The 24,275-nt window shown below is 48.8% G+C and overlaps 2 long non-coding RNA genes across 2 annotated transcripts in view, besides 8 other annotated features; one reads left to right on the forward strand and one right to left on the reverse strand.

Moving 5' to 3' along the window:
- The window catches only part of LINC01081 (long intergenic non-protein coding RNA 1081), a 60,668-nt gene extending 59,435 nt beyond the window's left edge, over positions 1-1,233 (reverse strand). The window contains exon 1 of the long non-coding RNA NR_104139.1: positions 1,040-1,233. This is a non-coding gene — a long non-coding RNA (long intergenic non-protein coding RNA 1081). The remainder of the gene's footprint in view (positions 1-1,039) is intronic.
- Positions 137-822: an enhancer, noted in NCBI's record as "H3K4me1 hESC enhancer chr16:86318757-86319442 (GRCh37/hg19 assembly coordinates)". NCBI's record gives its function as "activates a minimal SCP1, AML or CMV promoter by ChIP-STARR-seq in primed H9 embryonic stem cells {active_cell/tissue: H9 hESC(primed)}" and the evidence as "EXISTENCE:reporter gene assay evidence [ECO:0000049][PMID:30033119]".
- Positions 1,234-1,416: 183 nt separating the features above from the next.
- Positions 1,417-8,375, forward strand: LINC02135 (long intergenic non-protein coding RNA 2135). The gene is made up of 3 exons (NR_038438.1): positions 1,417-1,535; positions 5,651-5,730; positions 6,514-8,375. It is a non-coding gene; the product is annotated as a long intergenic non-protein coding RNA 2135 (long non-coding RNA).
- Positions 10,927-11,428: an enhancer, noted in NCBI's record as "H3K4me1 hESC enhancer chr16:86329547-86330048 (GRCh37/hg19 assembly coordinates)". NCBI's record gives its function as "activates a minimal SCP1, AML or CMV promoter by ChIP-STARR-seq in primed H9 embryonic stem cells {active_cell/tissue: H9 hESC(primed)}" and the evidence as "EXISTENCE:reporter gene assay evidence [ECO:0000049][PMID:30033119]".
- Positions 13,377-13,950: an enhancer, noted in NCBI's record as "H3K27ac-H3K4me1 hESC enhancer chr16:86331997-86332570 (GRCh37/hg19 assembly coordinates)". NCBI's record gives its function as "activates a minimal SCP1, AML or CMV promoter by ChIP-STARR-seq in primed H9 embryonic stem cells {active_cell/tissue: H9 hESC(primed)}" and the evidence as "EXISTENCE:reporter gene assay evidence [ECO:0000049][PMID:30033119]".
- Positions 16,009-16,303: a silencer, noted in NCBI's record as "tiled region #7763; K562 Repressive non-DNase unmatched - State 20:ReprD". NCBI's record gives its function as "represses a minimal TATA promoter and a strong SV40 promoter by Sharpr-MPRA in K562 cells {active_cell/tissue: K562}" and the evidence as "EXISTENCE:reporter gene assay evidence [ECO:0000049][PMID:27701403]".
- Positions 16,009-16,706: a biological region, named in NCBI's record as "Sharpr-MPRA regulatory region 7763".
- Positions 16,155-16,706: an enhancer, noted in NCBI's record as "H3K27ac-H3K4me1 hESC enhancer chr16:86334775-86335326 (GRCh37/hg19 assembly coordinates)". NCBI's record gives its function as "activates a minimal SCP1, AML or CMV promoter by ChIP-STARR-seq in naive H9 embryonic stem cells {active_cell/tissue: H9 hESC(naive)}" and the evidence as "EXISTENCE:reporter gene assay evidence [ECO:0000049][PMID:30033119]".
- Positions 22,327-23,526: an enhancer, noted in NCBI's record as "BRD4-independent group 4 enhancer chr16:86340947-86342146 (GRCh37/hg19 assembly coordinates)". NCBI's record gives its function as "activates an origin of replication core promoter dependent on BRD2, P300/CBP, MED14 and CDK7 cofactors, and independent of BRD4, by STARR-seq in HCT116 cells {active_cell/tissue: HCT116}" and the evidence as "EXISTENCE:reporter gene assay evidence [ECO:0000049][PMID:35650434]".
- Positions 23,586-24,103: an enhancer, noted in NCBI's record as "H3K4me1 hESC enhancer chr16:86342206-86342723 (GRCh37/hg19 assembly coordinates)". NCBI's record gives its function as "activates a minimal SCP1, AML or CMV promoter by ChIP-STARR-seq in naive H9 embryonic stem cells {active_cell/tissue: H9 hESC(naive)}" and the evidence as "EXISTENCE:reporter gene assay evidence [ECO:0000049][PMID:30033119]".

The following is a 24,275-nucleotide window of genomic DNA, read 5'->3' on the forward strand; positions in this document are numbered from 1 at the left end:
CATTCAACTCACAACCTTGGAAGGAGGCAAGCTCCAGGCCATCGGCTCCCTGTTCAACCTCTTTGGGCCTCAGTTCCCCCATCGGTGAGATGGAGGTTCTCTGCTGCTGCATTATGGGGGTGGGGGTGGTGTGGGAAGGGTGCCAGGGATTGGGCACAGGAAAGCACCCCCAGCCCAACTGCTGAGCTGCCAGAAACCTGGAGAGTATATGAGGTGCCACTTTAGGGCATTCCCTGTTTCGTTTCAGGGTTCCTGTATGGAACCTGAGACCACCAAAGGCACGCTGTGGTGCCGAGACCCAGTGCCTGCCTCTCTCAGTAGCACTGTTCCAAAGCCATCAGCTCTTTCCTCCCCTTCCCATCCCCCACCTCTGGACTTAGTTCATGAATCTCCCTCCCCTATTCCCTTCTCCTCTATTGGGCCCACCCAGCTCCACATAGTTTTAGCTCCTGGTACCCTCCAGCACATTCTACAGAGACCCCAGGTCTGTGCTCCACACTCCTGCCTTTCATCTGGGTTCCCAGAAGCTGCAGGGACAACAGAGACCACCTTGTGCCCCACCCACCTTCCTGGGTGGACACCCAGATGCTAGGCTCTGAGACCCCTTCCTATGGAAGCACAAAGTCCCCCCTCCGGGCTGGGCCGCCCACCACTGTGCTGTCCACACCTTCCGGAGGGAGGCAGGTACCTGTGGGTAGAGCTGGGGAGCCCCAGCGCACCATTTCAGGACTTGGAGAAAATAAAATAACCTGGTCGCACCTCAGTTTGCATATCAGTGAAGTGCGATGATAAATAGTACCTTCCTCCCAAGGTCAATTGTGAGGATTAAAACAGAATATTCACAAAAGTCCGTAGCTCTCTAGACTATAAGCGCCTGCTTCATTCGTAGCAGGTGCTGTGACTATTATCATGATTATTTCACCCTAAAACACTTTGAATAGGACAGCGGAAAGACCCTTGACCCCTCCGGGGACAATCCAAGAGCCCCTTGGCTAAAACAGAGCCATGAAGCCCCACTAGGCTGGGCTTTGAGACTAACCTCACCACCACCCTCAACCTGGTGACCCAGCACAGGTTCGCTGTCTCGCTGTGTAGCCCCGGGTGTAATCCATGTCTGGAGATAGAACACTGGAGCTCAGTGGGGCCTGAGCTTTCTGGAGTGAGGGTCACCGCAGGGCATGCACTGGAAATCCAGATCCCTGGGCCGCTCCCTGGGAAGTTCTGATCTAATATGTCCAGGCTCCTTCTGGGATCTGTTTATTAAGCATCAGGATGATTCATATGACTCCGCCGTTGGAACACTGGAGCCTGCGCGGGTGTCAACGCTTGTTCACTTGTTACAGGTGAGGTCACCCCTTTGTCACGCACCTCGGGCCCTGCGCCCTGGTGGTCCAGGGCTGGTGCGGGGGCTTAGGTGCAGCCTCTCCCACGTGCACCTGCGAGGCCTACCCTTTCTCCCGTCTCAGGGCCTTGATGCCCGTGCCTGTGAAGCTGGCATCAGCGAAGACCTCAGACGGGAAGGGATGAGTGAGCAGGTGTGCCCCCAGGGACCCCACGCGCCCCCCGCCCCTTCGCGCACCGAGGTCGTCCTGCGTCTCCGGGATCCCAGGCCAGCGGGAGGAGGGGCCGCAGGGGCGCTGCGGGCAAGGGGAGCCCAGTGCGCAGGGCTCCAGAAACCCCGACCCTCGCAGGGGAGAGCCAGCCGAACCAGACGTGTGGGGGCAGCAGCCGCCGCGGCGGTCTGGGACGCGGGTGTCGCCTTCCACGGGACTTGGGTCCAGGGACCCAAGACGGGGATCTGGGAGGAGGGGGATGCCCTTGGGGCCTGAGACCCGGGCGGTTTCCGAAGCGAAGTAGTTACCCAGAACCGCTCCCTACCTTCTCCCCGCCTCCCTGTCTTTCTGCCCCTCTGTCCCCTGCAGCTGCTCGGCCCTCCCTCCTCTGAAACCCACCGCCCGCCCAAGGCTCACTCCTTCCTGCTGTTCCCGCCCGCGAAGCTGTTGCAGGGACGGTGCGCCCTTGGGCTGCACTCACCACCGCCCCTCGCCCGCGACGTCCTGGCCCCCTAACCCCAGCTTTCCCGCCGCCGCTCACTCCCGCGCTCCGCTGCAGCTCAGCCCGGTCTGCAACTCTCCCTCTGTTTTCTGCCCCGCTCCTCAGTTCTGCGCTCTCCTCTTCTCCAGGCTTCCCTCTCCTCCTCCTTCTGCCTCTCCCCTGTCCCCGTTCCATTCTCCTGCGCCCCTCGCCAGCGCGCTCGCAGCCCATCGGCTCCTGCCGGGGCCCCTCTGGTGCCAGCCGCCTTCAGGCTGTGGGTCCGTCCGCTGGTGGAGGGGAAGGTCGGGGCTGGCCCCGGGCCCCGCGCTGCTGGGCCCCATGGTCAGTGGAGACGCCTCCTGGTCTCCCTTCAGAGCTCCTCGTCGTCGTCGGAGTCATCGGAGGACCAGGAAGGAGGACCCCCCACCAGCTGCCGCAGCCTCTGCTGCGAATCCCCCCACACCACACCTCTCACCCCAGAAGCACAATTATCATTGCCCAGCCCCTTTCAGACAAAAGGAAGAGCGCGGTGGGGATGATCAGAGGGAACCCTGACTCAATTCATGGTGTGCGTGCGTGCGTGCGTGCGTGTGTGTGTGTGTGTGTGTGTGTGTGTGATTGATTGATTGATTTTTAACTAGAGGGGAAAAATTCCTAAGAAAATGGGCAAAAATTACAGATTGTCCCATTTTTGTCCAGTATTATCATTGGAAAGGGAGGAAGATGAAGAAAGAGCCAGTGTTTGTGGAGTTTGTTTCAGGCTAGAAATAGAAAAAGGCTGCAGTTGATTAAGGAGGTGGCCAGAGAAGCAAAGTTTGTTGAACGCTGAAGATCACCTTGTAAAGGTGGAGTTCCTCAGGCTTTACTCCGGGAGCCCTCCCTGGGGAGCAAGAGAAGGCAGGGTCAGTGCTGAGCCATCCCGGGTGTGTGGACCTGCTACGCTAGGTCTGGTCTGGACGGTGCTGATGGGACCGGGGATGACAGAGCCAGGAGGGGCCAGAATGAAAGTCGCAGAAAACCAGAAACAGGCTACAAACTTCTCCAGTCTGCCCACCCTCCCCTTCCGTTTGTTTCATGAAAACCCATTTCCAATCAGAGGACCACAGGCCAGGGAACATGGTGAGCCCAGCCAAAGACACTTTCAGGACAGATGGTATAGAAACGTGGTACTTTGGTAAAGAAATCAAACTTTAAAGAGATCAAAACTCTGACTTCATCCCTCCCCAGACAGCATCTTGAAAAGGCGTCCCAGAGCATCAGCAAAGGACATCTCTGGGTCAGCGGGGACAGAACTGTCTCTTGACCTTGAACTTAAGTCATTTCTTTGTGATGCCTGAAACGTGGGCACTGAGCATTCATCGTTTTGTAAAAAGAGGGGACAAAAGAGTAATATTTTGGACTTTTTTTTTTCTCAAATAAAATGAACAAGGATGGATGCCTGGGGGTGGAATGGAATTATGTGCAACCTCAGATGATATAGAATCTGCAGGCAGTCTCTGTGCTGTACAGAAGAGCCCCTGCCATGCCTCCCTGCCCCAAAGAGTGGTTGCAAATTGAGTTCACGCGGGAGAGTTTAGAACACTGCTTGGTTCATAGGCAGGGTTGGTCGGTGTCATTCTTGTTATAGTATTCACCACTTGGCTATGATGGAGAAGTGAACTGAAATTCGATTTTCTTGCCTCTCACTGGGGACTGTGTTTGGTCGTAAGCTGCTGCTCGGTCTACCTATAGAGGTGGGGGTGCCTGAGCAGGAAGCGGTGCTCCCTCTGCTGTAACTGCTCCCTCCCCTAGAACTCAGCCTGCCTGCCCTGGGTCTGCCACAGCTGACAATTCCATCTGGAGTCTCCCCTAAGGGAGGCAGCTCCCCAGTCTTTGCTGTTAGCCCAACCTCAGCCGCAAAAATCCAAGCCGCTCCAGGTCCCCACTGCTCTGCTCTTGTGGGGAGCAGAACATGACATGGCTTCACACAAACAACCGCATTCACTGAATTGCACAGATTGATGTCCAGTTTGCCAGAATACCTCAGGCTTGCCGCCTCTCCAAAGCCCACGCATGGAGCCCTGAAATGCCGGCCCACCCGCGGGACGCTCACACCCCTCCAGATCCCAGCAAGGCTGGAGGCTGAAGGTTTTAACGCGGCTTTCTGCTCTACTGCCATGAAGGATTGCGTCGTCGAAAAATATTGAAGGGTGAAGGGAGATGTTCAGGCAAATAAATGAGGAAAGTAATTTGCAAAACAGCACGTGCACCATGTGATCCCATTCTTATAAGGACACGGTAAAATAACTAATAGGAATAACAACAGCTAATGCTTACTGGGTGCTGACTAAGCGTGCACGCTTCCCTGTGTGTGTGTGTGTGTGTGTAACTTACACACCAAAACACCAAACTGTGGCAAGTGGTTCTCTTGGTGGTGGCTTTGTCATGTTCCTCTCCCCTTGTGTAGTTGCATATGGTCCAGGTATTCTACAAGAAACACATCTTACTTTGTAAACCATTGCGGTGAATTTTTAAAAGATCACGTAAAGTCCATTTCTAGCACCCTTTTAAAGTGGAGGCGCTGGTATTGGAAGCTGCAGCCCTTAACGGGCTCCGCACCGAGTTTCCTTTCTCCCTCAGGACCGGTTTCTCAGAATTCCGTCTGTCATTGCTGCAGGACTGGAAGGGATTCATCTTGGGATTTTCTGTAGTAACTTAGCAGAGGCCTTAGCCTACTGTAGATGATCTATACATAATAGTAAATAAGACTTCTCCAAAATGATGTTTTAATCAACCTCCCCAGCCACATCAAAGCCCAGCAAAAACCTTTCTCCCTCAGGCAGGTGGCTTTTCTCTTCCTCAGGAGTGATTTCACCTCTCTGCACCATATCTGTTGTGATGGAAGGTGGCGAGGAGGAAGGCCATCCCATCTGAGCTGAACCTTCTGGAAGGAGGGCAGGGATCCCCTTGGAGCTTACAGTGGGGGGACTGGTCTCAGGTCCTCCCTTCCCTTTTGCTGTTGCTGTTCCCTTTCCCATCTATCTTAATGGTAGATGAGTTCGGCTCAAGGAATTGCTCAATTCTGCCAAACAATTGCACTGTTGTTGTTTTAACTGAATTGGTCAATCAGTTTAATTAAAGCAGGCAGGCTGATAAGCCCCTCATGGCCAGGGCTGTGCTGATACTTCAAGCCATACCCTTAGTAACACAGAGTTCCATCTTGGTGTATGTGTGCATATGCACTGTGTGTGTGTGTGTTTGTGTGTGTATATTTGTGTGTGTGTGTGTTTGTGTGTGTATATTTGTGTGTGTACGCGCCTGTGCACACATACATGAGCATCTTGGTTTAAGAAAGTCATCATTTTGTAAAAAAAAAAAAAAAAAAAAAAGATAGACAAAACTATCTGGTCAACAGCGAAATCAATTTATAAATGACTCTTCCAAGCATCCTATAAACTTTTTCCTCACCAGATTCTGGGAATCTGGGTTTTGGAAATATTTTGTTTTAAAAAATTGTATGTTAAGTAAAAAGGTAGAAAATGTTGTTTTGTTGTTCATATTTTGGTGAAGCATATATATTGAAGTATATATTTCACACAAAAGACACGACTCCTCTCCACAAAACTCTGTGTTCCAGGAGTATGAGTACGTGAGTTTCGAATGGAAGCACTGTTATGCCAGCATCAAACACCCTGCATTGACAGAAATGTGATTCCGGTAAATATTAAGTTCCTTGCTGACCTCGGATATCAAATTAAATCTTGTGACAGGCATTGGGAATAGAGGGGGAAAGGGCTGGACAGACAGAAAGCTTAAGAAGTGACTGCATGCCAGTGCCTTGGGTGCAGTCTGCCCCCTGCACCATCCATCCCCTCCCTCCAGCCACTCAACTCAGAAACCCAAGGTGCCCAGAAATCGAGATTGATGCTGTAGTGAGAGTCAGGCGTCCAGCTAGAAGCTGCAGTTCTGCACCACCAATGGGAAAAAAAGCTCTGGCAGCCCAAAGCCCTGGGTGCAAATCTCCGCTCCACCAGTCACTGGTAAGATGATCCCAGCAGGGCCAGGACTAGGGAAAGTGAATGAGGCTCTTATCTTGGGTACAACATTACAGGCAGCACTGAAACACTCAGCCATCGAGATAAATAATATTTTAATGCAGTATCTTAAAAAATCAAAACGAACACAAAAAATCTACGATGCACAAAATATCAGCATTTAAAAAATAAAGATGGGCTCCATCTCGGCACCTGCCCGTGCTCCCTTGCTTGCCTTACCCTGACCCCGACCCTGTATTCCATCTTGATTTAAAATTTCACGTTTTGTTCCTCATGGATTTATTTTTGCACGGATTTAGACTTTTTTTTTTTGGTCCTGATGACTGAATGTTTTGGTGCCCCCTTCAACAGTGCCCCCAAGGTGAGGGTCTCTCTCTTGCCTCACCCTTGTCCTCACCCTGCGAATAATCTCACATTTCTGAACCTTAGTTTCTTTGTCTAAAAGGCAAGGTAATAACTGCCACTCCCTGGGACTGTTTGACATGACTCCAGGACCACAGGGAGTGCATGAGGAAGCTGGCAGTCCACCTGCCACCCACTGTGAACCCAGACAGAGAGGCCATCTGACCCACACAGCAATTCTGGGGGACTGGGACCTGCGAGCAAGGTTCGATTCCCAGCCCATCCGTCCCTGTCTCTCTGACACACGGTCACCACGTGCATTCTGCTGCCAGGCCCCGGAGCTGAATCCTGTGAAATCCTTGCTCCAGGGGCCACACAATGTAACCGGGAGGCAGGAATATGACAGGAAAAGTTAACCCACAGGATGGGAGGTCCCAGGCTGTGTGCACAGTGACAGGAGTGATCACAAGAGTGCATGGGGACTCACCCTGGCCAGAGACAGAGAGGCATATAGGAAGGTTCCCCAGGGGAGCCGAGACTCTGTCCAGACCTCAAAGAATTCGGAGAGGAGAGTGAGAGTGAGCCCGTATCTGGGATAACTGAAAAAAAAAAATGACTAGCTTAAAAAAAAATCTCCATGTGTGACACCTTACGTCACTAAAGCAAAGTGTGGATTTGAGTTACTAGGTACTAACGAGAATTTTGGAAAATGGACACAGCCCTGCGTTTAAAGGAATTGTCTTTTCTTGCTGGCTGATACACTTGTAAACACACACACACACACACACCCCACCTGGCATCTCCATATAACATCCCAGGGTGCCGTTAGCCTTTCTGCCTCCTCCCTCATCCCATGTCTCCTAGAACTGCCATGAAGCTGACGTGCAGCATGTGCTCGCTGCTGGGCATAGGTGGCCAGCCCATGGCTCCTTCCTGTACCCGTTGCTGGCAGGTCCCGTGCCCCGGGGCAGCTCCTGCCACCAGTCCTCTCCTCTGCCCTCCCTCGCATCTACTCCTTACGTGCATCTGTCAAGGGGCGCTGAGCAGGTGTGTCTGTGCTTCACTCAGGTCTCGTTAGTGGTTGTCAGTAAGCTCTGAATTCTTCCATAGAACCCTTAAATCCTTCCTCAATCCCCACAGCCCACGAGCAAGCCTCCTAAATCCAATCAATTAACACAGCCCAGAAAGTGGATCCATTTGCAGGAAAGCTATAAGCTTGCACCTAATCGTCCTTCCCTAGGGGACCGGTTAGAGCAACTGTAGGACGGCAGGAAGGAGCCCTCTATGGACCTGAAAACATCAAGGAGAACGGTACATGTTGATTGGAAATATGTCCGTGACATATATTGCTAAGTTTAAAAAACTTAGGCTCCAAAGCAGCAGATGAGTATGATTGCAGTAGCTTTTGAAACGGTCGTGTTGGGTGAGTGTTTATACAGAGATGTCTGGGGCAGGAGAGAGAGGCCTGGGGGCCACCAAATATTCCCAGCAGTTGCTGACAGTGAGACACCAGGAGGGTTCAATTTTAAAAACTGTCTTCTTTATTTAAAAAACATTTTTTTTCAGTGGTTGAATTTTTGACATGGGTATGCATTGTCTTCATAAGAAGGAAAAGGAAAAAAAAAAAAAAAAAAGAAAACCAGCTAGGTGATTTATAAGCTTCCATGGAGCATTTTTGGTAAATGAGAAGTGCTGGGTTTTCCAGGTAAATGGAATATGCAAACCATGGGTGCCGGGGCTGGGAGGAAGTGACAAGAGGGGACACTGCTTAGTTGCGTAGGGTTTCCTTTTGGGGTGATGAAATGTTAGGGAACTAGAGAGGGCTGATGCGCGTTGTGATTGCACCGAACGTTCTGCATTTACTAAATGCCCCCGAATTGGACACTTGGAGACGGTTAATTTCCTGTTATGTGAATTTTACCTCAATAAAAAGTGCCAGATTCTCTAGTAAAACAAGTCACCTAATCAAGTTATCTGTGTGTCTTCTAGTTTTATATGTAATAATTTACCTGATTTGGAGCGCGCTGGTGTGGGTGCTCCAGAGGACCGGTCTGTCCTGAGGCTGGAACCCGATTTCTCAGCCTGCTTTTGTGGAACCCAGAGGCACTGACTCTCTAATGAATGGGAGGCAGGGAAATAATTTCCAAGATTCCTTTCGGTTCACAAAAATAAGAGTATTCAGAAGAATGAAACCTCTCCATGTATAACATCTGATCATTTTCTTATAGTCACCGTCGCTCTTAATTTCTCCTTCACACAAAGTTCTAGTCTGACATCCATTGAAACCAGAACTTCTAGAACTTTCTTTTCAGTAAAACATTCTCTCTCTCTCTCTTCCATTCCTCTTCATTGCATACAATATTTGAGATAGCTTATAGGAAATCAGTGTTAAAAAGGAGTAAATCATCAATGCAAGAATACAACTACGGGAAAATATAAATTGGAGTTGAATATCAAGATTTAGAGAGGAAATACTTAGAACTCATCCTCTGAAGCTCTGAAATTACGCACAGCTGCTGTGGCGGGCCATGCATTCAACCCCCCGCTATATTTATATAGCGTGTTTACCTCTGGAGGACATTCACTCATTTTACCCTCAAGAGTTTCCCGGGAGGTGGACAGAGGCTGAAGAACTCTGCGTGTGACAGACGGACACTGAGGGCCCTGCGGCCCCCGCCAGCCCTTACCAAAACCCTCCAAACCGACCAAGTCGTTTCTTCACCCACATACAGCAGACTCGCACGTGCCACTGCAACGGGTATGGCCTGTCTCTCACACACATGCACGCACACAGACACACACAATGGGGTCCTTACACACACACAGACGACACACATCCAGACCAGACAAGCATGCATATTTTTATTTCAGTGGGTAGGAACAGGAGCACTGTTTCCGCCAGGACTCCACAGGGGCGATTTATGGACCTGGAGCGTCTGAGTGCTTGTGTGCTGCTGGGTGGGGTAGGGTGGGGCAGGAGCACACAGAGGGAGGCTGGAGGGTGCTGGAGAGAGGATGGGTGTGAAAATGGTCATCTTGATTTATACAGAACCACATTTACAGCCCGTCCATTGCGGAGCTTCACGTGAACATCATCTTCTTTTTTATCTCTTTCTTTTAGAATCCCATGTGTCTCCCTCCTCCCTCCTGTCTTTCCCTCTCCCTCCTCTCCCCTTCTGTCTCTCCCTCTCCCCGTGAGGAGGCCCAGCTGGAAGGAGACAGGGCTCCGAGTTCAGTCCGTGCAGACAGGACTAAAGTAAACATGCTGGTCATCGGGCAGGCAGTTAGCAGCATTTGGACAGATGATCAGTGCTGGGCTGGTGGAGGACCACACACGCAAAGCCCCCTCGGACCACACAGGCGTGTGCCTGCCCGCCCTGCCTACGCACACGCACATGCTTGGAGTCACACACAGGATGCCCTTCCCATGCCAGCGCAGCTCTTCTTTGCCATGGGACAGTTGGAGAGGTGTCTTCTCAACACTCACAAGTTACAGGCCCATGCTGGCCTTGCCAGAGCCCCCACACTGAGCCAGATCCCCTCGAAGAAGCAAAGGGCCAGGGGCCTCCCAGTCACGTGCTCTGTGGGTACCAGGGGCATGTCCCTTCACCCTTTAGGACCTCTGTCTCCCCATCTGTGGGGCTGGGGTGATCACAGTGGCTGCTGTGCAGGGGTATGGACGGCTGCCTCCCGTGCCCTTCACTCCCTGTGTGGACTCCAGCCTTGTCATGATTTCACCTCAAACAAGCGGTCTGCACCCCTCCCAAGGCCTGGGGGGCAGGGCCCCAGCTCACATGCCTTGGCTCTGCACCACCTGGTCACCCGGGGCAGGCCCCTCCACTGCTCTATGCCTCAGCTTCAGCAACTCTGGAGCAGGGAGAGCAACAGGCAACCTGGCAGATGGACTAAGGTAGACCACTGGTGCCAGCCACAAATGCTGGGCATGGATACTGGCCCACAGATGCTGGCCACAGATGCTGGCCACGGATGCCAGTCACAAAATGCTGGCCACAAATGCCAGCCCACAGATGCTGGCCAGAGATGCCAGCCACAAATGCTGGACATGGATACTGGCCCACAGATGCTGGCCACAGATGCTGGCCATGGATGCCAGTTACAAAATGCTGGCCACAAATGCCAGCCCACAGATGCTGGCCATGGATGCCAGCCACAAATGCTGGGCATGGATACTGGCCCACAGATGCTGGCCACCAATGCCAGTCAGAAATGCTGGCCAAAGATGCCAGTCACAAAATGCTGGCCACAAATGCCAGCCCACAGATGCTGGCCACAGATGCCAGACACAAAATGCTGGCCACAAATGCCAGCCCACAGATGCCAGCCACAGCTGTTTATAGGCTGCCACTATTCTGTGCAAAGACAGCCTGGACTCCCACCCGGACAGTGACTCCCTTAGACCTTTTCCCATTGTCCTTCTCTCAAAATCCGCACCCCTCCTAGGAGGCTGGGAGTTTATGTCCTGTCTGCCGCGTGCCCTGAAAGAGTCACCAAGGGGGAAGGTATCTGACGGAGGTGTGCTAACGGTTGTATCCTGCCCAGCATGTTAGAAGACACCCCCCCAATACAATGCCCACCTCTGTTGGCACAGATGGGCAGGCGGCCGAGGAAAGAGACTTAAGAACTGGTTGCTTCTCACTGTTCTACTCCTCTTCTTAAACACTCCCCTAATCCAATTCCCACCCCCAAGTAGTCCATGTCTCTGAGAGGGCTCCCAGGTTCCAACACCTGCCTAACGAGAAGGGAGCCAAATAAAGCCCCTGCCTGCTGGCCAAGGTGGGGCTGGTGTGCTGTTGGCTGGAGGAAGGAAGCGCATCTCCCCAGACTCACTCTGCTTATCAGGGTGATGGGGGAACATGGGCTGGGTGAGGAAATTCCCACCCGGGGGACACCCCGAACAACGTTCCAGGATGGGCTCTATGGCCCCTGGCCGCCCACTGCGCCATCTGTGAGGAATGTGACACTCCCAGCACGGTCAGTGGCTGACCAGGGCCATCTGTCTTCATTACATGGGTTTGTTTGGAGGAGGTGAGCACTGGGGGCTGTCACGGCTGAGGAAGGCTGATCTATTGGCAGAGGTGCTTTGAAGCCTCCTCAAGGTTGCAGCTCTGCAGACCACAGCACGCGGATGCAGTCCCAGGCACCTTCCTACACAATGGGGGATTTCTAGTCCTGGGGCTCCAGGGAGAACTCCTCCCTGGGGGAGTCGGGTGTGGACTCGGACACTGCCCTCTGCTCACTCGTCTCCTTCCACCTGGTTCATTTGTATTGAGCACCTACTATGGAAAGGTACAACCCAGGCACTGAGGGCAGAACCCTGGGGAGTCTCCTAATCTGGGGGGAGGAACGAAGTCTGAAAAAAATCCCTGGATTCCCAGAGTGGGAGGAGAACACCAAGGACAATGAAGCAGGATCGTGGGACAGACAGTGGGACTTCAGGGCCAGCAGTCAGGGCAGCCCTCTTTGGGGGCCCCATTTGAATTCAGATCTCAGAAACTCCTGGAGAGATAGCATTACGTGAGAATCCGTGTGTCTGTCACTCTGAGTCAGCCTTCAAGCCCCAGCCTTTCTTGCCTCTGAGGCCTCTGCCTGAACCACCAGCCTCAGTTTCCTTGTTTGCAAAATAGGCACGATAAATACACCTAACTCCTAGAGGTGCTTGGAGGGTTGAGTGAGATCAAGCATGCCCAGCATGTGGCCCACGGCGAGACCCGGGGAAATGCCAGCTGCAGTTACCATGACTGTGTGAGAATCTCCACATTTAATCTGTGGGTGAGGACACGCCAACGGGAGAGAAGCTCTGCTGTCTTGGGCAGGGAGGAAAGTCAGGACCCCTTTGTCCTGTTCCTTGGGATAGCATGATATTACTAGTGGATGATTCCAAGTGGAAGAAAGCCTTTCCTTGGAGTAGGGACCCTAGCATCATTTTCCTCTTTGGCAAGGCCTCCCAGAGTCACCAAGAGGAGAACAAACCCACAGCGATGTCCTGGAGAGAGGCTGCAGCTAGAGAAACAGGGAATCCGCTGACATGCCGGGTGATGACTATTGTTTTAATTCTAGTGACTCGCATCACTAGACTTCCGGGGTTAGAATCCTGGCTCGATCCCACATGAGGGTGAGACAAGACAAGTTACCTATCTCCCTGAACCTCAATGCAGTCACCCGTAAAAAGGGCCCAGTCGCCCTGCACACAGGGGGCTTACAAAGATTGAATTAAAAGAAGGGAAGCATGTGCCCGGCACGTCGCGGGCACGCTGTCAGTCTGCTTTCTGTTTTCCCTTTCCCTTTTCCCTCCCTTCCTTCTCCTGTGGCTCACCCCTCCTTTTTTCTTAAATCACTAAAATATATTGCAGAGGCACTCAAAAACTGCTAGACGTGACCAGCAAGGACAGGGAAAGCAACGACTTCAAAGTGAGGGTCAGAGTTTGTCTCCTCTGTCTGCAGAAGCAGATTGGGGTTACGACGGGAAGTCTGAAATATAAGCTCCGAACGTTGCATTTTACATCCAGTCTTGCGGGTGCCTGTGCTCCACGCCCTCCCAAAGCCAGGCCCCTGAGCTGAGCGGCTTCAGAAAGTAGAGCCCCTCTGTCTTTGGTATCAAGGGGCGGGGACCGTTATCATCCACTGAACAATCGAGCACTTACTGCCTGGCAAGCCCCTTGAGCTGTGCGGGCTCCAGTGCACGGATCCCTCCCGTCAGTAGGACTCGGGGACCACCCACACCCCTCTTTCACTGCCGGAGAAACCAAGGCACAGAGAAGAAACGAAGCCCCATTCCAAGGATAGGCTGCTGCCAAAATCCACCAGTCATCCCAGCCCGGAAGGTCCAGCATGGGACTTTTCCATTTCCCACCAGATGTTAGTTGAACAGAGTGAGCCACGCCAGGCTGTAAAACAAATCCCAGCGTTCCCTGCAGCCGCGCAGGAATTATATTCGCCTGTCAGGGCCCAGTGCAAGCATAACACAGACCTCCTCTCCCCTCGCCCAGCGTGGAAGGCGTTTTGACCCCCGCTGAGAAACATGAAGGTCGTGACCCACTGGCTTCCCCATCTGCCCTTTCCTCACCAGGGGATATCTGACAACAGCCCTGTTATTTATGCAGCTTAATGCAATCCAGAGGCCATTGGCACATTGCAGAAAGAGGGAGAAAGGAGGGGTGCCTGGCTCCTCAGAACCCGGTTTCACTGGCTGCGTGTTGAGCCTGACATCAGACTGGTACGGGGAGGACAGGATGGTGGCTTTCTGCAGCAGGGAGCCTCCGAGGTGGCTCTTCCTGGATGCAAACTTGAGCAAACCAACAAATATTTACCCAGGCTCTGCTGGGTTCAAGGCGTATTTTCACAGGGTAGCATCGTTAGCAGGCACTCAGGGAACATTCCTGGATTAATTCTCTTCCGGGAGTTGTGCAGACTGGGCTGTACTGGCTCCCTGGAGCCGGCATTTCTGTGGGCGTGATGATGTCCGATCATTTGTAGCACACCACAATACTTCCAAGGAAGAGCTAAGAAACTGGCTCTTCCTGGGAGCAAAGTTAAGTTGCATTTTTTAAGGGAATTTTTTTTCTCTCCATAAATTTATCCTCTCTTATGACTCAACCAAGACACACAGAGTCACAATTACTTAACACTGAGACGCTAGTTTGTTTTTCTATGTTTTGTTGAAAGGACACAATGAACAGTCATGGACAGACCTCACCAGAGCATCACACAGACCTGGGTGTGACTCCTGGCCTCACCATATACTAGGTCTGTGATTTGGGTAGGTTGCTTGACGGTCCCTCACTAGAAAAATGGGACCAGAATAGGACTTGGCCCTATACAGTGGGGGCCCATTAGAGATGAGGGTGCAGATATCCCCGCATGGACTCTGCCCCAGAGCAGGCTTTATGGACTGGTGCCTGTCATCTTCTTCATTCTCATCTCCAGTTGAAGGCCATGTGGCAACAGAGTTGAACACGCAGAAGACAGAGCTCAGTGGCCTGGGTTCAAATCCCAGCTCTGCCCTTTGTCAGCTGTGTGACTTGGGGTGGATTACTTAACCTCTCTGTGTGTCTTGGTTGGCTTCCTCATCTGCAGTACTGGGATAATAATGGCTGTGAAGATCAAACTCATTCATAAATGCAAGGTTTGTCTTGCATTTACTGGCCAACTGGCTCATAGCTAGTTGGTCATTATTGCCATTACAGGGAGAGCTGCTATTCTGGAGTGTTTGATTTAAAATTATTTAAAAATATTTATTGCACACAAAATAGCCCAGCAGACATGAAAACAATAAAAAGAAAAAGAAAACTAAAAACTTCCATCTTATTTTAAGATATTTTTGTAATATGTTGATGTTTTCGTGGCTTTAACATCAGCTATTCTTGTCATCATTTTAGGGAGAATGTTTATTTTCTAAGCCCTCGATTTAAACTCATTTAAAAATATTTATTGCACAAACAATAGTGTGTAAAAACTCCTGATAATTTAAAAAATCCGTTCTAATAAATCTTGTTTTAAGGTGTTTTTGGAATTTGCAGAAGTTTTTGTATCTTTTGCCACAAAATAGCTTCTGGAGCTGTTCATGTGGACAAATACCAGCTTAGAAAATATGCTGCGTGTGGCTTGGGCTGGGCTGTTCTCTTCTGCGTGGGACACCTCGCACCCATGCCCTGGGCACCGCAGATGATTGGGTGTCCATCTGTGAGTCCGTGACAGTGTTGCGTGGACTCAGAAACTCAACATTACAGCATCACTTCAGGATTTTGGTTTTCAATGTCATGTATTCTCAAGCCTTTATTCCTCCTTCTCTCCTGGGATAGTGATGACCTGTAATCGTCACTTGCTCAGAATTGATCATTCACGAAATATTTAAATGAAAAGTGATTGCAAAACCTCAATTACTTTTGCACCGACCTAATCATTGGCTGCCGCGGGCTCTGTGGGACCACATCTACGAATGTATCGTTCATGGCCGTTGTTCCTTGTGGAATGTGACCCTGTGCAGGCAGGGATTTGATCTTTTGTGTACGGCAACATCCTCTGTGCTAGGACACAGCGGGGGAACTTAGGAGGAGCTCCACAAATAATCGTGAATTTATGAATGCAACAACAAAAGAATGAAGACTGAAATAAACCTTATGAATAGGGTACTTTCTGTGAGTTTTTTACAGAGTACCTTTTTGGCTAGAACATTTCTTAAGAGTTTTTTTTTTTTAACTCGAAGTAATCTGGAATTTAATTTACTTAAAGTAATATATATGTATATTATTGTATACATATGTATACAAAATATATATGTATATATTAATATAAATGTAATAGGTATTGGGGCAACATTTTATATTTTTAAGTGATTTTACATCCATGTTCATCTCCTTTAAAACCCCATGTGCTAAGTACAGCAAATAGGATTTTGTTTCCCCGACGTCCAGGCTGAGTGCAGCCAGATGGGATGACTTGACAAAGTCACAAACGCTGACAAATCCCGGCGGGGGAGTTGTGGCTTCCTCCAAAGGAAGGTAGGTCTGTGTTTGTCAATTGATCAGCTCAGCGGTGGCCCTGAGTGAGGCCGTGAGGAAAGTAACTCCGTAGTTTTAATTCTGATGATTACTTCCTGAAAAAGGACCCTGCAATGGTGGGTCCAACCTCCTCCTTCCCTCCGTCTCTGCCAGTCGCTCGGTCTCTGTCTGTGCTCCCCTCCAGCTGCCTGTCCCTCCCCCTCAATGGGGGCTTAGGGGCCCAGCTCACCACTCACGCTCCCACAACGTCCAGCGTCCATGCCTGCAGCCTGTTTCCTGGGAATTTCAGTCCATGTGGAGCAAGAGGCCAGTCTCCTGCTCTGAGCCCAGGAGGGCACGTCCTCCGCCAGCTCTCAGCACTGGCTCTGCTTCCTGTTTACTTCTGCAAGTAGCTGCGATTGTGGGGTCTGCAGCCAGCCCTGTGGTCCGAAGCCAGCCAGGCTCAAGGGGTTATCATCCTATCAGCCGAGATAGGCTGGCGGGCTCTGCCATCTGTCAACTGTCTTCTGATGTAATTGAAAGTTCTCTGTCCTGGAATGTCATCTTATTAGGTGGATCAGGCCTTGACGTGTTAACTGGAGAGTTTCTGCAGGGCTCAGCTAGTTATTTTATTTTTTCAAAATTAAGAGGCATACAGTCTTTTAAAAATCTCATAACAAGTTCTTATGAAAATTTTCCAAAAAATCATCAGAGCGTAAAGAAAAAAGGAATGGTCACCCAAAACCTCATCACTCCAAAATAATATGCTGGTAACGTTTCATTAAACCTCTGTCTATGCAAATTATATCCAGAGAGATTCATGCGTATGTTTCAAAAATGGAATCAGATTTCCCATGCTGCTGTTGACCTGCTTTTCTTTTTGATGCCACAATATGGCACGGATGTGTCTCCATGTCAATAAATACAGATTTACATCATCTATAAATAGTTGTATAGCATTCTCCAGGTGTGGCATTTAGACTTTTTCTTTTTTTTTTCTTTTTTTTTGCTATGATATGTTATAAACACCACCACAATGAACATGTTTTGCACATTTGTGTAAATATTTCCTTGGGATCGACGCCTAGAGTTGGGGTAACTGGAGCATGGGGCATTCACACGTACAGTGACCATCTGAGCAAACTACAAGCAAGGAAGTGCCAATTTTCCTCACACAAACAATCTACACTGGGTCCCAGTTCTCAGCCCTGCATCATACCAAGTGCCCAATTCTTTCACTTAGCTACTTCCAGCAGTAGAAAGTAGCATCTCATTGTTGCTCTTTGGTCTTTAAAAAATTACATTGCACATATTTATCAGGCATTTATGCACCTGTGAACTAGCCCAGCTACTTAAAATTAGATCCTCATGCTGCAAGAGCTTTAATGGTCAACAGATCCAACCCCACTCCCAAACCTCCATCCACCCACCATCCACATACTTGGATCATCTCAACTGTTTCTCTCCAAAGACCTGGCCTTGCCTCTGGTCTGTTTGAACACTCCCATCCACGGGAGCTCATCGCTGCCTGAGATGGTCCACTGTGTTCCCAGCTCTAATTTATTAACCTATAAAAGCCAGTACATATGGAATAACCATGCTGGGCCAGGAACGACGGGAAGCCCTTTGCTGAACAGTGTCTCCAGCCTCAAACAGTGCTGAAAACATGTATCGCTATTTCCTTCTTTGTTCCATCAGGGTCGCGAGATGCAGAGAGGTTAAGTAACTTGCCAAGGGTCACACAGCTTTAAAGGAGCAGAACAAATAATTGAATGTGAGGAAACCGTGCACCACTTGAAAGGCTCACAGAGGAAACTTTAAGCTGGTGAGAGATCTAACAAAAATAAAATAATTTCTCAAAGTACAGATTTCTTTAAAGACTTCCTATCCTTCAGGCACTTTATCTTCAGCTGCCCAAGGATACAGAGCAACTATCAGACACCCATGGGGTCTGGGCTTTGTGTGAGATCTGTGCTAGTCTCTGCAGCTACCAGAAGGCAAGAAGGCCTGGCCTCGAAGATGTTCCAGTAGACTCGGGTGTCACCGGCCCATGTGCTTATGGCTCACAGATTACCAGGCCAAAAAAAAAAAAAAAAAGCCTACCTTAATTGATAGAGGTCTCAGATTAGTTCAAAGCATTCACCTCTATTTTTTCCAACTGGGTCTGGTTTCAGAGATTAGATTTTCTAGGTGCAGAAATGCCCTTAGGCAAGTCAGAGGCCCAATTTGCAATGACCCCACTCGGCCCTCCTATCCTAATGTCCTGCCACTTGAAAACATCATTTTCGGAGTGTCCCATCCTCAGGGCTCTGGAAGAAAGGCTCTGGCATCAGTCATTCACACTTTAGTATGAATCAGCCCAATAATTTAAATAGCTGGACTCTATGATGAACACATGAATTTTTTTAAGTGGGTTCATTTATTCATGAGATGGATGTCTGTGATTTGGACAGGAGGCTTCTCAGCTTCCCTCAAATTAATCCTTAAATTTCATCTCACCCTCCCTTTCTGTACAACTTACCTTTCTTGAGCACCGATCTGTCCTTCGGATAAACAGGTAACAAGCTATGGGCTGCTTCTCACCTGTGGAAGGTTAGGCCACAGAAATGAAATCTTTCGTTAGGTTTCAAAGCAAAACACACAAAACTCAACCAAAAGAAAAAAAGGGGGGCGGGGCGGGGGGGACACAACGATGCCTTTTAATGTAAAGAACCTGCCCTGTGGTCCGAATCTTTCTCATCATGAGTCCAGCGTGCAAGGGAGGATGAAGGTGCTGCATGGGCTTCCTCTGGGGCTGGGGACTGCTGGCTGGGAGCCACCGCAGCTTGCAAACTAAATTTAAAAGCTTGCACCCCAAGACCCTTGAGCAAAGGTTACTCGAGGTCTATTCCGGGTTCAGGCGGAAAAAAGAAGCTTGACTTGGCAAGGAAATGCCTTGTGACGAGGCGCTTGGCTGACCAGGGGCATGGAGGAAAGCTGGGACTCGCTGCGTTTTCTTTTGGCATTTACAGCCCTGAAAAATGATTGCAGCTTCCTCTGGCCGCAGAGCTGGAGCCTGAAGAGGTGACCTTTAAGGGGAGTCTGTTTACTGCAGCCGCAGGCCCAGGGCCCTTGCGTGAGCTCCACGAAGTCTGCGCCGGGCCTTGGCACTGACCCTGCGGGGCCTGCAACCCAAACTCACCGGTTTCTGGGAGCTGGTGAGGGGCTGCGCTGGGGCTGGGGCGAGGCCCCGGCCGTGTGGGGAGACCAGGGGAGCCTCCACGCTGGGCGCCCGGGCAGGGAGCGTGGGGGCGGGCGGGCTCACTGCTTGCTCCCGGGAACATCCTGCGGGGCAGGTCTGCCTGACCGGCCACCCCATCCTCGGACGCTGAAAACTGTCCTGCAGCCAACTTCAGCCTCTCTTGGCTCTGCAGACAAAACGAGGCGATTCGCCTGCATGGGGTACTCCTCTCTCCTTGTGGGCCCTGCCACAAATCGGATACGGATCTCCATCCCCCGGACTTTCACACCGAGTTACACAGAGGAGAAAATGGGGATAAAAGTTAAACTGAGAAGCATTCAGAACTCACCCTATAACCGTCTGAAACGAAACCATCCACATAGTTTACGGCAGACAAGGAAACTATAATCCGATTTCTCCACTTGGATCTTAAATGTGAAATAAATAAGCACATGTAATGGTATCTGCTATTTTTCAAGAGCATGAATAAAACTTGAAGACTTGGATTTAACTTTTTAAAGATGGTTTTGAAACCTTTCTAACTGAAAACAGGATCACTACTCATTTTCTCTTTCTACCCTCATTCAACACTCTTTTCTTTTAGAGAGACAGTGTTTTTTTAGAATGCTTTGGTTTCTGTTAGGAACATAATACACTTTCTTTGGGGAAAATGTAGGAGACAATGAAAAGAAAAATAACAGTGACATGAAATTTCACCACTCAGAATTAACCTTGGTTAACATTGCAGTAGATTTCAACCTGTTTTAAAATATATATATGTGTGTGTGTGTGTATGTATATATATGTGTATATATGCATATATATGTGTGTGTATTTGTGTGTAAATAAGTGTATATAGGTGTGTACATGTGTATATGTGTGTATATGTGGGTGTGTACACGTGTATGTGTGTGCAGATATGTGTTTATGTGTGTGTATGTATGTACGTGTGTATGCATGTGCATATGTGGGTGTGTGTATATGTATGTGTATATGTGGGGAGTGTATGTGTGTATGTTTGTATGTATATGTGTAAATTTGTGTGTGTATGTAGATATGTGTGTGTGTGTCTGTGTGTTTTCTACAATGCATCCTTTATAAAACCAGTATCAGGAATTTATATTGTGCTGTTCTCACCTGTCAATATGTCATAAATACTTTGCCAAGTCATTAAAGTTTCCTTATAAACATCATTTTGATGATTGCCTAATACACCGACCTGTGGATGTGCCATAGTTTCCTCCACTATTCTCCCATTATAAAAAATGTTTTAAAGTGTACGAACTTCCTTTCCCAGTGGGGGAAAATGGAATCGCTGGTCTGATCTGGAATGGTTATTTGTGATTTCCTGAAGTTAGGTCAAAAACCATTAGACATTTTTTGTTAACCCAAGTACCTACTTCCTGGCGGATTCCAAACATTGACCTGATGAAGACCAGGGGAGGGGAGCACCTAGACCTTTGCCTTGGGAGAAGCGAGGTGGGCCCGGAGCTGACTCTAGGACGATGTCCTTGTGTGAAGGTGGCAAGCCAAGTCACCCCTCAAGGGAGGAAGGAATTGGGGCCCCTGTTCTTAGGTGTTTATGAATCATGAGCTCCACTGAGAACAAGATGACAGGAAGCCATGGAGCCTGTCTAGAAGAGTCTGTTCCCAGAGTCCACACAAAATTTCAGGGGTTCTCAACCCTTGACCCCTTATGGAGGCCTTTTGAGATCTCCAGGACCCAGGGTTTAATTACTGGGGACCCTCTGTGACCAGCTCCAAAAGCATCCCTGGATTCCTTTAGTCCATAACTCTGGGAAGATCATAAAACACTTTTTTTTTTGAGCACTGAATGTTAACATTTAACAGAGAAAACTTTTGTTTTTGCAGAAGTTGAGAAACTATAAAATTCTTCCTGAAACCTGAGACTTCGAGCATATCACCAAGGCAAGAGTTACAAAAAAGTGAAACTTTTAGGTAATTTTATGAGTTTTGCAAATCTGCCACAAGCATATGTTTAGCACCCTCAGAAGAATTCCAAAAGGAGTATTGCTTCAGCCTGTCAAGAACTAAAATAGTTACACATGTTTATTCCATGTGGTTTGATGTATTATAAGCTATTTGATGGAATTAGGAATGACATGGTTCCTTTTACTCTCCATAAAAACATTAGTGCAGCATGTCCTCTGATACTTGTGGTCTTGAGCTGTTCATTTGTTTCTTCATTCCTTTCGAATGTAATGTTGCATTTTAGTGTTCAGGCTCTGTGGGCGGCACACTGGCTCACCACACACTTGTGTGTGACGTGGGAAAATTTACCAAGCTCCCCAAAGCCTCAGTTTCTTCATCTACACAATGGGGCACCTGCCTCATGGAACTCTTGTGAACATTAAAGGAAATAAGACATGTAAACCACTTAGCACATGGGCTGACATGCGAAGAACATTCTCTGCCTTAATTAGGATTATTTGTTAGTTCTCACCCGAACATCCAGAGATGCAAACAGAAGGTCGAAATAAAGATCAGTGCCTGAAGGCTTCAGGAAGAGTGGGTGAAATAATGACCACATTTGCATTACTAAAAGTTTGGGGCTAATTATGCTACAATTTCCTATTATACGTTGAATGAGTTGTCCAGAAGAGAGACAGAAAAAACAAACAAACAAACAAACAAATGAGAAACCATCCACATTCACATATACGAGACAGTTAAAAATTGGGGGGTAGAAACTTTCTCAAGATGGGTTTCACAAAGCACTAGTCCCATCAGATGCCCCTTGAAGGAATGTCAAGGAGTTTCTCTGGAGAGATCAGTTTGGGAATGTTGCTCACTCTTCCCTCATCTTGGAGAGTCTTTGTGCACCTGGGCATAGTAAAGGCTCTGAGAAGTCCTGCAGTGAAGAAACTGACGGGGCTCTGTTAAATCCAGTTTGGGAAAAGGATTCCTACTTTGGAAAAGGCTGAACTCGAGAATGATCCCAAACATCCCCTTCGAATCACAAATGGAGACGAGGATCAAGGGACACATTTAAAAATATCACCACGTGTACACACAATCTTTGACACAGTGCCAGGTAGCAGATGCCTCACAGTCAAGTTCCGGTGAGGCTTTGAGATTGCTCAACAGTTTTGTTGAGAAGTAATTCACATACCATACAATCCACCCATTAAAAAATGCACAATTTGATGGTTTTAGTACATTCCCAGAGTTGTACAACCCATCACCACAATCAATTTTAGAACATTTTATCACTTCGAAAGGAAGCCAGTACTCACTAATAGTCACTCCTCCACTCCTCCCTCCACAACCCCTGGCAACCACGCATCTACTTTCTATCTCTAAGGATTTCCCTGTTCTATGGACTTTTCATAGAAATGGAATCACACACCCTGTGGTCTTTTGTGTCTGGCCTGTTTCACTGAGCACCATATTTCCAGAGTTCATCCTGCCACAGCATGTATCAGCCCTTCATTCCTTTTTTACGGTTGCACAATACTCCATTGTAAGGAGAGACTGCCTTTTATCTACGTATCAATCAATGGGCATTTGGATTGTCTCCATCTCTTGGCTATTATGAGTAAGGCTGCTGTGAACGTCTGTGCCCATGTTTTTGTATGGGCATGTGTCTTCGTTTCTCTTACGTAAATACCTAGGAGTAAAATTGCTGAGTCATAGGGTCACTCTAGGTTTAACATTTCGAATAACTGCCCAAATGTTTCCCAAAGAGTCTGTACCATTTTATAACCTTACTGGCAATGTATGAGGGTTCCAAATTTTGAGTTTGCTTTCGATCAAATACCTGGCACAAAGCAGTATGCTTGTTGATTAATCCAAATTATTTTAAAAATTCTCATACTTAAATGACAATTGCCTAGTGTCAGGGAGTGTACTAAACACTCTGTGTATCATAACTCACTTCATCTTCACAACAACCCTAACAGGTAACCGTATTGTCCTCCCCTCCAGGCAGATGGGGAAACAGAGGCCCAGAGAGGCTCAACAGCTCATCCCGGGTGATGTGGCTTGTGAGCAGTGGATGGAGGGATCAAACCCAGAAGTTCAGCTCCACAGCCCAAGCCCTCAGGAGCTCTGTTGGAATCCTAATGTGTTCTAACTTTTCTCTTCTAAACTGTAAAAAAAAATAACTATTGACAAACACTTATAAAATTCAAAAGAGGTAACTCCTCCTGTGGAATGCAGGAAGCTAGAGGACTGGGTAGAATGTGCTGATTATGAAGAGGTGGATAAACTGTGATGAGTTTACACAATTCACACCTTCTTTGGGGAAAGATATTCAAATCAACTCATCCATGAGGCACAGGCAGAACTCAGGCTGATGGTTGCTTCTCCGTCTTCAGACTTCTCTAGAAATGGATGGAAGGTGCTGTCTAGCAGCAAGCAGCAGCACGGGGGCTCGAGCCCTCAAACTCCCCGGTCAGACTCTGCAGGTCAACCCTGGCCCTGCCCTTTCTGTGCTGTGCTGCGCAACCTCTGTGAGCTCCCAAGCCAATTTCCTCCCCTCCAGACCGGGCCAGTGGTACCCCCTGCCTAAGGTTGTGCCATGATGATGGTGAGCTAATCAACGCAAATGGATCATGGTCCCCGCCCAGCGGAGTAACCACCCCCTGTGTAGTTGCAACCCTCGTTATTCTAATGAACTCCAGTCTTGAACCCCAGGTCTAGGGAGAGGCCTGACCACTCACCCACTCTATCAAGAGGCCTGTCCCCATCTGGGAAATGTTTTTAAAAATTTGGGGCTGGGTGCGGTGGCTCACTCTGTAATGCAAGCACTTTGAGAGGCTAAGGCAGGAGGATCTCTTGAGCTCAGGAGTTTAAGACCAGCCTGGGCAACACCGCAAGACCTCATCTCTGTAAAAAATTTAAAATTAGTTGGCATGGTGGCACACACCTGTAGTCCTATCTACTCAGGAGGCTGAGGTGACAGGATCATTTGTGCCCGGGAAATGGAGGCTGTGGGGAACCGTGATCAGACCACTACACTCCGGCCTGGGCAACAGAGCAAGGGCTGGTCTCAAACAAAAAAAAAAAAAAAAAAAAAAAAAAAAGTGGAGCTAATAAAAGTTGCGTTTCTGTAAGTGTATGATTTTTTTTCCTTTTAGTAAAATTGAAAATTATGCAATAATAATTTCTCCCTTCCCTGGGCCA

Source organism: Homo sapiens, chromosome 16, assembly GCF_000001405.40.
Source record: "Homo sapiens chromosome 16, GRCh38.p14 Primary Assembly".
NCBI lineage: Eukaryota > Metazoa > Chordata > Mammalia > Primates > Hominidae > Homo > Homo sapiens.